This window comes from Homo sapiens, chromosome X, assembly GCF_000001405.40.
Source record: "Homo sapiens chromosome X, GRCh38.p14 Primary Assembly".
In the NCBI taxonomy this organism is placed as follows: Eukaryota; Metazoa; Chordata; class Mammalia; order Primates; family Hominidae; genus Homo; species Homo sapiens.
Window position 1 is genome coordinate 136,260,799 of NC_000023.11, and position 13,364 is coordinate 136,274,162.

The window sequence follows — 13,364 nt, forward strand, 5'->3', positions numbered from 1 at the left end:
CACAGCATGCCTGACATATGCTTTTTACCATCTCCATATGTCTCATTTATATCTTAATCCACAGCCTGCTGGGAAATAGCAGGGTAAGACAGCACTTGGGGGACCTCTGTTAGTTGGTCTCATGCTATTTTCTTAGCCTATGGTATTCACACATCCTCCACTCTGAGCTGGAATTTGGCCCTGGGCCTGTGCAATTGCCATAGGGCTGACTGCAGGGAAAAGAAAATTTGAAATGTGAAATGACTTTGTTCAAATATGAGTCAAGGATGTGTTCAGTCTGTTTATAGAAGGAGGAAATGACATTTGAAGAAAATTGGTTCAGGGAGAAATGCTGTCATTATATAAGCATTCATAGTTTAGTAACAGACTGGTGAAGAGAGTAACTGATTGGCTAACTTGCGAACCCCCTGAAAGTGTCCTTTATCCACTGCAGTGTGGTGAGGGGCTTTGGAACTGAACACATCTGGGCCTGGGTCCCAGTTCTGCCACTTAAGGACTTTGTGACCTTGAGCCTCAGTTTTCTCATCTGTAACATGAGCATAATGACAATTTCTTATAACTGCTCCATTATTATTCAAATCAGGTGATATAAAAGATCAGATACAGTGCCCAATGTACAGTACAGGCTCAATAAAAAAAAGATTGTTAGTAGTAATAATAGCTAATAGTTTGAAGGAATTTACCGTGTGTCAGGCACCGAGTCATACACTTTATTTACATTGCAGCCTCACTTATTCCTGACAATAATGCTATGAGGCCGGGCGCAGTGGCTCACGCCTGTAATCTCAGCATTTTGGGAGGCCAAGACTGGCAGATGGCTTGAGCCTAGGAGTTCGAGACCAGCCTGGGCAACATAGTGAGACCTCTTCTCTACAAAAAATCAAGAAATGAGGCAGGAGGATATCTTGAGCCCAGGAGGTCGAGGCTGCAATGACCCATGATTGCACCACTGCATCACTCCAGCCTGGGGGACCCTGCCTCACAAAAAAAAAATGCTATGAAGTCAGTAGAATTATCCCCTCAAATGCTGTTACTATTAATAATGATAATAATATACATACCACGTAGCTCAGACTGCAATAGATAATTCCATGCTTCCTGATCCTGTCCCAACTCAAAAGTTACCTGAAAGCCTTTTCTTTTTCTTCTCCCTTCACCTTTACCCTAAATGTCCTCATTTGTGAACAGAGGGCTGGGGATGTTTTACCAGGTGATTTAGAGACTAAAGACAGGAGGCCAAGAAAACAAAGCATTTTGCAACCCAAATGCTGGCAGAGGGATTTGCAGTTAGAAACGAGATCAAGTTTTTTAGGCAAAGAATAATAATTGTGTGTAACTATCCAACAAAGATGCTTGTTTGGGGAGAAATAAATGCAGGACTCATTCATATTTTCGAAGTCTTTTTAAAGACCAGAATGCTGGCGCTTCACAGAATGTCAGTACCCTTTGTGTTCCTGCCCTGCCCCTTCCCCTACCTTCCTCAGCTGTTGTGGGGGAGAAGGCCTGTTTCAGAAGAAGACAAGGTAGGGTCTATTCCCTTGAGGTGCTGATAAAACGTTGTCCAGTTGCAGACACCCCTCCCCCTCCCCCAAGCTTGTCTCCTGATGGAAGAAGCCAGAAGGCAGGAACAAATATAGTCTCAACAGACTGCAGCTACTACAGTGCTTGAACTCTCCCCTCATTTCTTACAAGTGGAAACAGCCTTACTGGAAGAGTGATCTTGCAAGAAGAGAAAACATCTATCAAGAGTAAGGCAGGCCGGGCGCGGTGGCTGATGCCAGTAATCCCAGCACTTTGGGAGGTCGAGGCAGGCAGATTGCTTGAGGCTAGGAGTTTGAGACCAGCCTGGCCAACATGGTGAGACACCGTCTCTACTAAAAATACAAAAATTAGCCAAGAGTGGTGGCGCATGCCTGTAATCCCAGTAACTCAGGATGCTGAGGCAGGAGAGTCACTTGAACCTGGGAGGCTGAGGTTGCAGTGAGCCGAGACGGTGCCCCTGCACTCCAGCCTGGGTGACAGAGCGAGACCGTGTCTCAAAAACAAACAAACAAACAAACAAAAAAAACAACAAAGAGTAAGGCAAAAACTGAAGCAGCATCTCATGAGAATCTAAGCCGGAAGACCATAGTCATGGCAGTTTATGGCAAAGAGGGAGGCATGTGGACCTTGAAGAGCATCAGGTTCAGGAGGGGTTAACCCCAATCACGTGGCTTAACACACTCCTCCTTCCCCCGCTTCAGGACAGCTTGTGGTTGGGGGAAATAGTGCCTCCTAGATGACAAAGTTATTTGAATGCTAGTTGAAAACAATGCTGGTTCGAGCCAGAATTTCCACATTTTTCACTTAAACTGTCTGTGCATAATTTCCAATTCTTTCTGGGTATGTTATTCCACCCCCACCTCCATCTCTGCCAATTCTCTGGGTATGGTAGAAAGGAAGCACTTTTATTCCAGTCACCAAAGTTTATGAAAATATGAATGACATTAATAGAATATTTTGAATCGTGTATTGCTTTAAGATAGGAAAGTCAGTTATCTTTTTCTCTGGTGGCCTTTTTGCACCATACTTTCCTTCCTTCCCTCCCTTCCTTCTTTCCTTCCTTCCTTCCTTCCTTCCTTCCTTCCTTCCTTCCTTTCTTTCTTTCTTTTTGAGACGGAGTTTCACTTTTGTCTCCCAGGCTGGAGTGCAATGGCCCGATCTCAGCTCACTGCAACCTCCACCTCCTGGGTTCAAGTGATTCTCGTGCCTCAGCCTCCTGAGTAGCTGGGATTACAGGCACCTGCCACCATGCCTGGCTAATTTTTTGTATTTTTTGTAGAGACGGGATTTCACCATGTTGGTCAGGCTGGTCTGGAACTCCTGATCTCAGGTGATTCACCCACCTCAGCCTGCCAAAGTACTGGGATTACAGGCGTGAGCCACTGCGCCGGGCCTTGCACCATACTTTTCAAAACATGTTAATGGACACTCACTTCATGGTAGGCATTTTAAACTGTGATTCTCAGGAACACCAGAGACATAAAAACTAAAATTATGACACATTTGATAGTTCAAAGACACTCAGATTTAATATTTAATTAGCTTCCTCCTCATTTTATGAAGGAAGCGATTTAGAAAGTGACTTGTCCAAAGTCACACTTCTTGTAAATGGCAGAGCCACTCATTTTATTTTATTTTATTTTATTTTATGTATTTATTTTGTTGAGACGGAGTGTCGCTCTGTCGCCCAGGCTGGAATGCAGTGGTGAGATTTCGGCTCATTGAAACCTCTGCGTCCTGGATTCAAGTGATTCTCCTGCCTCAGGCTCCTGAGTAGCTGGGATTACAGGCGCCCGCCACCACGCCCAACTAACTTTTTGTATTTTTAGTAGAGGTGGTGTTTCGCCATGTTGGCCAGACTGGTCTCGAACTCCTGATGTCAAGCGATCCACCCACCTCGGCCTCCCAAAGTGCTGGGATTACAGGCATGAGCTACCATGCCCGGCCAGAGAGCCACCCATTTTAAAGTCCCATTTTTCACAATGCAAATGATAATCCCAGCAGGGTGTTTTTTTTTTTTTTTTTTTTTAAGATGACATCTCCCTTTGTCGCCCTGGCTGGAGTGCAGTAGGAATGTACAGGTGCACACCACCATGCCAGGCTAAATTTTGTATTTTTAGTAGGTACAGGGTTTCGCCATATTGGCCAGGCTGGTCTCGAACTCCAGATATCAAGTGATCCGCCTGCCTTGGCCTCTCAAAGTGCTGGGATTATAGGTGTGAGACACTGCAGTCATCCCCAGCAGCTTTTTTGTGTGTATAGAAATGAACAAAATGGTGGCCGGGCACAGTGGGTCACGTCTGTAATCCCAGCACTTTGGGAGGTCGAAGTGGGTGGATAACCAGAGCTCAGGAGTTCGAGACCAGACTGGGCAACATGGTGAAATCCAATCTCTACAAAAAAAAAATACAAAAATTAGCCAGATGCTGTGGCACATGCCTGGTAGTCCCAGATACTCAAAAGCTGAGGCAGGAGAATCACTTGAGCCTGGGAGGTGGAGGTTGCAGTGAGCCGAGATCGTGCCACTGAACTCCAGCCTGGGTGACAGGGCAAGAACTTGTATCAAAAAAAAAAAAAAAAAAGAACAAAATGATTAGTTGCTATGAGAATTAAATGAGATAATATTTATAAAGTGGCATGCACAGTAGCTCGTTCCCTACACTACACACGTTTTCTTTCCTTTACACACATATATATTTTTGAGACAGAGTCTCGTTCTTGTCTCCCAGGCTGGAGTGTAGTGGCGTGATCTCATCTCACTGCAAGCTCTGTCTCCTGGGTTCAAGTGACTCTCCTGCCTCAGCCTCCCGAGTAGCTGGGATTACAGGCATCTGCCACCACGCCCGGCTAATTTTTGTATTTTTAGTAGAGACGAGGTTTCACCATGTTGGCTAGGCTGGTCTGGAACTCCTGACCTCAGGTGATCTGCTGGCCTCGGCATCCCAAAGTGCTGGGATTACAGGCGTGAGCCACCACGCCCGGCCTCTTTCCTTTATATTAATGTCTACATATCAGGTTTACATAGTTATAATGTTTATGTCCATACCATGTTGTGATCTGCCTTTTTCACTTAACTTACCACATACTTACCACTTTAATGCCTAAATAGCATTCCATCTGGTCGATAGACTACATTTTTAAGACATTCTACCATTATTGAACATTTGGATTGTTTTCAGTTTTTCACCATTATAAACAGCTGGGCTTGGAATGATCTTACACAGTTTTTCACCTTCTATCCCCTTGTTCCTTTGGGGATTGTTTCTTCGGAATGTGGTCTCAGCAATGGGGGCAGAGGTATAAAGAGCTTTCAAACCAAATTGCTCTCCAGAGAAATACCACCAGTTCAGTGTGTCTGCATGTCATCAGTGATGGGGAGACAATATTATTTTTTATTTTTAAAAGACGGGGTCTCACTCTGTTGCCCAGGCTGGAGGTGCAGTGGCACAATCATAGCTCACTGCAGCCTTGAACTCTTGGCCTCAAGTGATTCTCCTGATTCAGCTCCCTAAAGCTCTGGGATTACAGGCCTGAGCCACTGCACCCCATCGAGTCTATACTATTGGGAAAAAAACGTGGTTTAACTCTTCTCTCCAGGCATAGAAAAGCAACTTGAGAATTCTTGGCTGAAACTTCCTTCCCCACCCCTACTTACCCCACCCTGTCTTCTGCACTGTTAGTGCTTTCCTGGCCTTTTCTTTCTGTCTTTTTTTTTTTTTTTGCAAAGTCTTGCTCTGTTGCCCAGGCTGAAGTGCCTTGGTAGGATCTCAGGTCACTGCAGCCTCTGCCTCCTGGGTTCAACAGAGAGGATCATGCCTCAGCCTCCCAGGTAGCTGGGATGACAGGCACACACCACCACACCTGGCTAATTTTTGTATTTTTAGTAGACATGGGGTTTCACCATGTTGGCCAGGCTGGTCTTGAACTCCTGACCTCAGATGATCCACCCGTCTCGGCCTCCCAACGTGCTAGGATTACAGGCATGAGTCACCGTGCCTGGCCTTCCTGGCCTTTTTCTAACTTACTCTTTCTGTGCAGAATCTTGGAGCAGAAATGGCCATGCTGATACACAACAGGACAAACAGTTTCTGCATATCAATACTAGGCAAAATCTCACAAAACCCACACACAGAAGTGGGAACATGAAAAGTCCTTCGCCAAATCAAACATTGGAGATACACAAATTCATGGACAAAAAGGTGATTTTGGTATCAAAGATTAGCTAATAAGAAAAGACTGTCTTTTTTTTTTTTTTTTTTTAGCGAGAAAAGTCTGACTCTGGATCTGTGAATCCATATCCTTGAATTTGAACATTTAGCCCACTGGATTTGGGGTGCCTGTCCTGACTTCTGTTACAAATAGTCAATGATTTAATTATAATAAGTAATTAAAAAAATATCAAGACCCTTTGCCTCCATTCACTATCTTATTTAATCCTCAGAACAACCCCTGGAGCGAACTCTATTAGCCCCTTTTTGCAGAGGAGGAAACTGAGGCTTAGAAAGACCATTTAACTTGCTTGGAGTCACACAGCTGGGAAGTACCAGAGCTATGATATGAACTCAAGTCTGTCTGATTTGAAGGCCTTTGTACTTGATCTTGTTCTGCCTCTCATATTCTTCTCATTTATGAGATGGTGACTTACAACCTGCCACACTAACTCCAGTGTTGTTTTAAGGATCAAATGAGATTAAAAATACTCCCAAAGTGCCTTGTAAAAAATGAACAAAACATTACACAAATAACATATGCACTTTGTAACTGAAAGGCATTGAGATCACTTGGATTTAATTTAGCTACAGTGATTCTGTAGGACTCTACCAGCCACAAAACCGGCTCAGCCCTAGGCTTTCTGGAGATACTCAGTAGCTTTGGTCCTAAGAATAATTTCTGATGGCTGGGCATGGTGGCTCACACCTGTAATCCCAGCACTTTGGGAGGCCGAGGTGGGCAGATTACTTGAGGTCAGGAGTTCGAGAACAGCCTGTCCAATGTGGCGAAACCCCATCTCTACTAAAAATACAAAAATTAGCATGCCCTGGTGGTGCGCACCTGTAGTCTCAGCTACTTGGGAGGCTGAGGCAGGAGAATTACTTCAACCCGGGAGGTGGAGTTTGCAGTAAGCCGAGATGGCGCCACTGTTTTCTAGCCTGGGTGCCAGAGTGAGACTCTGTCTCAAAAAAAAAAAAAAAAAATTTCTGAGAATGGATCCTGATTATGATTACACTGCGATATTTGCAAATGCAATGCTTACCTGTATGAGACTCACTTGTATTGATGTTTCTGTTCATGATGGTTTTGTGCATATTTTAAGGGAGCCAGAGTACCAGGTGTGGTACTCAGAGACTGTCCTAGAATACTCAGAGAATAATCAGGGAAAGCCAACTATTCTACCTCAGGTCTTTGTTATAGGTGGGTTATTGAGGCAATGTGATAGCAACTGATGGAGGCACTTTCTCTCCCACTTCCTCTGCTAAGAGAGAAACCTGGAGTTAGACACATTGCATTCAGAGACTGTTAACATTGAAAGAGGCCTTGGACATCCTTTCATTGGACATCAGTCCCCCTTTCTCATTTCTTATTTTTGGAATATAGCTTAAATGTGTTTGTTAAAAATGCATGCACTGTCCTGTATGTGGAAAAAAGAAGGCAAATTATGTGCGGAGTGTTGTATGAGACTCTCTCAAAGAAAGCTGTGGTCCAAAATGCCATCAGGCATCCCAGTGTATGCTGCCCATTCCTGTGGGTGACACACCTGCCTGAGTATGACGTGCCTCCCTGCCCCTTGCAGGCATAGTTTCATTTAATTCTGATAGAATCCTATGAGGTAGCTACTATCATTATCCCCATACTACAGACAAAGAACTCGAGGCCTAGAGAGGTTAACGAATCTGCCCCAGGGTCCATAGTTACTCCATGAAACTATTGGGTATATTCACCTCCCAAAAGAAAAAAATGGGCAAGAGGTTGGGGTTGAGAGTTGAGACAGACTTCTAGTTCTCACTCTGCCACTAACTACCTGTATGACTTTGGGCAAGTCTTTCCAGCTCTATTTCATCATCCATTCATCAGTTACTGTGCTGGTTGTTTCCTGGCTTTACATTCAATTCCTTTTTCTGAAATCCTTACAGTTATTTGTGATTACTTGTAACTGGAGTTAAACTTTAGTTGTCCAGAAAAATAAAAATAGAAATGCAAAGTATCAAGGTGCTCCCAAATCAAACATACAGATGGCAGAGATCATCACAGAAATGACAATAAGGACCCTTTTTCCTGTTTGGCAAAGCTGAGTGTTGCTGCCACCTAGCGAGTAAAAGGAAGATGGCTATCATGCAAGGTCAGGCCCTTCTGTGGAGGCCCAGGGAAAAAGACCAGAAATCATCCAGTTTACCAAATATTAATAACTTATGAGATTTCACTAATATGTTAAAATTGCAGCATTTGCTTCAGTATATGCAAGCCAATATCTCTTCCGTTGAGAAAAATGGGATCAGGAGAAGAGCTACTCTGGGCAGTGTTAAGTAGGAGTTATTAAAGAGGAGGTCTTTAAGTAGGAGGTCTTTAAGTGTTAAGTAGGAAGTCTTTGGTTTCCTCCAAACATCTGCTTACACTGTGTCCTTTCCTACTGATCCTCTCCCTCTCCCAGCTGGAATCCTAGAACCCTAAGTCTGAGCAGGAAGGAACCATCATCAGAGAATTTCTAAGGCAGCCCGGGTCATAGCACAGAAGAAAACGGATTTGACCAAGGTCACAAAGGTAGTTAACATAGGCAAGACTGACAGAAGACTAGTCTCAGAACTCTGAAACCTGGTCTGATCAAATCCACCCAAAATGGATGAGATTAGATATTTGCAAAATCACCTTCAGTCTGGAGCAATATTAGGAGATACCATCAATGATATGAACATATATAAGGAAGCCAAGTCGTTCTGGTAGGGAGAAATGGGTGGTCTGGCTGGAAATCTGGAGAAACTGAAGCTGTTGGGAGCTTCAGGCACTAGAAGATGCTCTCTACTGGGATGAGGGAAGAAATCTCTCATCAGGACTCAGAGAGGTCAGGCTGAGTATAAAGGCCCCCCAGTCAACAGATCTCAATCTTCATCAGATACATTCCCACCCATCAGGGAGTGCCCAGGGCTCCCAGTGCACCAGATCTAATCTTACGGTTTCCTCTGCTATTAGGAAAGAATATCAGAAGTGAGATGAGAAGCAAAGCTTATTGCAGGATAACTTGAATCTGCTAGAATGTATTTTTAAAAATCAAAATATTTTATTATTATTATTAATCATTTGCAGCAAACTCACAGCTCCTAGTTTGGATGGCCCCCATTCTTGCAATGATTCCTTTTTTTTTTTTTCGAGACAGATTCTGGTTTTGTCGCCCAGGCTTGAGTGCAGTGGCACAATTATGGCTCACTGCAACCTCCTCTGCCTCCCGGGTTCAAGTGAGAGGCTCATGCCTCAGCCTCCCAAGTAGCTGGGATTACAGGCGCATGACACCATACCCAGCTAATTTTTTAAAATATTTCTAGTAGAGATGGGTTTTCACCATGTTGGCCAGGCTGGTTGGTCTCAAACTCCTGGCCTCAAGTGATCTGCCTGCCTTGGCCTCCCAAAGTGCTGGGATTACAGGCTTGAGCCACTGTGCCCAGCCTGGAATAGCTCTTTGCACTGTCAACAACCTAAGTAATAACAATAATGATGATAATAATAGCTGATATCACCAAGGGCATTCATTGTGTTAGGGACTTTCCAGTCGTTATCTCATATATCTGACAATAGCCCAATGAAGTCATAATTATTATGACCCCTATTTTATAGCTGAGTAAGTTGAGGCTCAGAAAGCAGTTTGCCCAAGGTCACATAGCTCTCCCTGACCATCTCAGCTCTTAATCACTGCCCTATACTCACTGAAGGCTTGGCTTCTGAGATGCACTAATACCAGGAGGCAGGAGGTGAGTGTATCCTCTAACTAGTGGACATGTATATTTTTAACTCTAGGAAGAGATTCCCTCCTTGCCATCCCTAGACTTTGTTGTAAATTAACACATAGGCATTCCAGGATTACAGCCTCTCCTCAGGAAACTGATGGATCACTTGGTAGGCTAGTTGCCTGTAAGGGGAGAGATTACCTCTGGAAAACATTTTCCCTAATGTACAGAAAATTGTTTTCTGGGTGGGGATAGAGCGGGAGACAAACTGTAGGAGGATAGGTGACTAATTAAGGGGAAGAATTTTTGATTATCTGTTGTTTCAGATTATCAGAGTAATCGCTTCTGTCTATTAACATGGATAATTAAGAATTGACTGTGTAGTTAAGTAATTCAAACCTTCCTCTCTCACACACAAAATTCTCTTCAGTAATAAACAAGCATGCACAGAATTATTCACTGAAATAAATGGACTTCCTTCTTGTGTTTGTCAAATACAATCCCCTCTTCCTCTCACTGAATTACCAATTTAGATGAAGAGGTTCCTTAAACAAGAATCTATGTATGTATGTATGTATGTATGTATCTATTCATCTATCATCTGTTCTATATCTATGTAATATGAACCGAATATGCACTACAATGATTTTACTCTTGCTCTCACCTCCCCCCCCCCCTTTATTTTTGAGACAGTCTCGCTCTATTGCCCAGACTGGAGTGCAGTGGCACCATCTCGGCTCACTGCAAACGCCACCTCCTGGGTTCAAGCAATTCTCCTGCCTCAGCCTCCCAAGTAGCTGGGGTTACAGGCATGCACCACCACACCCGGCTATTTTTTTTTTTTTTTGTATTTTTAGTAGAGATGGGGTTTCACCATGCTGGCCAGGCTGGTCTCGAACTCTTGGCGTCAAGTAATCCACCCACCGTGGCCTCCCAAATCGCTGGGATTACAAGCATGAGCCACCATGCCTAGACCTCTCACGACCCTCTTTTGACATTTTTTTGGTTCCTTAGGCAAATAATATATACTAAATCAAGTATAATATTTTATGTTGTTACTCTATGGTTTTTCTTAAGGCAGAGAATAATTAACAGGACAGTTAGAAAATGTGAACAGGAAATAGTTGAATACAAGCTGAGAATGTTGCTAAAAAAGAGGAAGTGAGTTGGAAACTAAAGGAAGCTTTGTGTTTGGAGGGTCATCAAAGGAGAAAAGGGTTCTTTTAAAAAAAAAATAGAGGACTCACCTCATGCCTAGACTCCATGTACTAAGTCTGGAGTACAAGCAGAATTTTCAGCTGTTTCCGGAAACAAGCCTGAGGGGCACATAGACCACAAGTTCCCCTCCAGGGGTTGAGAGAATGTCTTACTTAACATGAAATTCTCCCATGTTTTCTAGCCTAGTGCTTGGCATGTTTTAGGTACCCAGTAAATATTTGGTAAGTCAAAATGAACTTTGTAATTGAGTTCCAGGCTTTGAGAATCAAGTTGGTGATTAAAAATCAAAACAAAACAAAACAACAGCAAAATAAATGAGAAATGATGGAGACTTCATTTTAGAGTGTGAAGGGAAGATTGCAAGGATAGTAAATGTTCTCATCTCATTTTATATGAATCATAACTGTAATAATGCAGGACATGTGGGCAGGTTTTCAGCGACTTGCTACAGCTCCCCTACAATCTAGCTATCTGCCTTTACTGTACAATTCACTCAAAAACAATTATTTAATTTAAAAAACTGCCTCTGATCATGCATGTGTGTGTGCATGCGTGTGTGTGTGCATGCATGTGTGTGTGTATGTTTGTATATGTAATTCAAAGAAGCTAGTACTAAAAAGAATTTTTAGAATTAGAGCAATTAAAAAAACCATTTATTTGTTTATTTATTTTGAGACAGAGTGTCACTCTGTTGCCCAGGCTGGGGTGCAATGGTGCAATAATAGCTCACTGCAGCCTCAAACTCCTGGGCACAAGTGATCCTCCCGCCTCAGCCTCTAGAGTAGCTGGAACTACAAGTGCGTGCCACCACACCTAGGTAGTCTTTAAAGTTTTTTTGCAGAGACAGGGTCTCTCTATGTTGTCCAGGCTTGTCTCAAACTCCTGGCCTCAAACAATCCTCCTGTCTCAGCCTCCTGAGTAGCTGGGATTATAGGCATGAGCCACTACACTCAGCTAGAATTAGGACAATTATTCCCACCAGAAGTCTGTGGTCACTACACAGTGTGCTGCGTGAGAAGTTTCAGGAGATCTACTCTTCTCTCTAGCTCCCCCATGCCTTTCTTCCCAAACAAGCAACTGCAACTTAAAATCCTTGTCTCTAGATGGCCCCTGTTGAAATTATGCATTTGGGAAGCAGTGGGTAGAAACCACCCAAAATCTTGGAAGGGAGCATTTATTATGTGCCAAGCATAGTGCTGGCAAATAAGCACATGAAAAGATGCTCAACATCATTAGTCATTCAGGAAATGCAAATTAAAGCCACAGTGAGATACCACTGCATACCTATTAGGATGGCTACAACTAAAACAAAGACAAAACTGTTCATATGAAACGCTGGCAAATTTGCAGGGTATTTGGACCTCTCATATATTTCTGATGAGAAGTCTTCAAGGAAAGCAGGATGAAAATGTGTAATAATTTGGTCTCTTGTCTAGAATGGAGCTTTTATCATCAAGGGCTAAAAAAAAAAAAAAAATGTGATATGCTGGGCGCAGTGGCTCACATCTGTAATCCCAGCACTTTGGAAGACTGAGGTGGGTGGATCACTTGAGGTCAGGAGTTCGAGACCAGCCTGGCCAACATGGCGAAACCCTGTCTCTACTATAAATACAAAAATTAGCCAGGTCTGGAAACGGGTGCCTGTAAACCCGCTACTCAGGAGGCTGAGGCACGAGAATCTCCAAGTGAGAATCGCTTGAACCTTGGAGGTGGAGGTTGCAGTGAGCTGAAATTCCGCCACTGCACTCCAGCCTGGGCAACAGAGTGAGACTTCATCTCAAAGAAAAAAAAGTGTTATAGAAGCAGGTCCTGACAGGGCCAGTAGCTAAAAACAGTAGTGGCCACGTGTTGTGTGGTGACTAAGTCATTCCAGAGTAAAATAAAGAACCCTGGAGAAAGGCAAGTTCATGATCTCAGCCTGAAGCCTGGTCTAAAGAGAGAAGTTTATTTGATATTATTTATATTAAAATTAGATACTTCTGGGAACAATTTCTACTGGTAAGAGAATATCCATTTTCTCCAATTTGAAGAAATTAATGACTACTTTAGATCCCTCCTAGTAGAGAGGAATTGGTAGAATAAGAGGGAGAGAGAGGGAGAGAGAGAGAGAGAGAGAGAGAAAGAGAGAGAGAGAGAGGGAGAAAGAGAGAGAGACTGTGTGTGTGTGTGTGTGTGTGAGAGAGAGAGAGAGAGAGAGAGAGAGAGGGAGAGAGAAAGAGAGAGAGAGAGGGACACCTTGGTGGCCATTTAGTGTAACTCATTTCCTTTTGCAGGTGAACCTAGTGAGGGCAGAGGAAAGGAAAGTCTTGCCTGAGGTTACACAGTGTGGAGTCAAGACCAACACCCTGGCCTTCTGGTGCCCAGATTAATTCAGTGACTATATCATGCTGCTTTTTAGCTAATAATTTTATGTACAAATTTTCTGTGCTCCAAATTAGTCACAACCATCTGAGTTTCCCAGGATTGGTGACTCCTGGAGAATATCTCCTGATAAGGGGATACATATGGTCATAAGATTTACTGTACCTTTCATAATCAATACTGATTACTCCCCCTCATTAATGACTTCTGCTTTCAGCAAGAGTAGGGCACCTCCCCAGTTCTGTCAGTTCCCTGACAACTATAAATGACAATCAAGGTACTCTCTTATCTCCACCTGACTTGCATCACTCT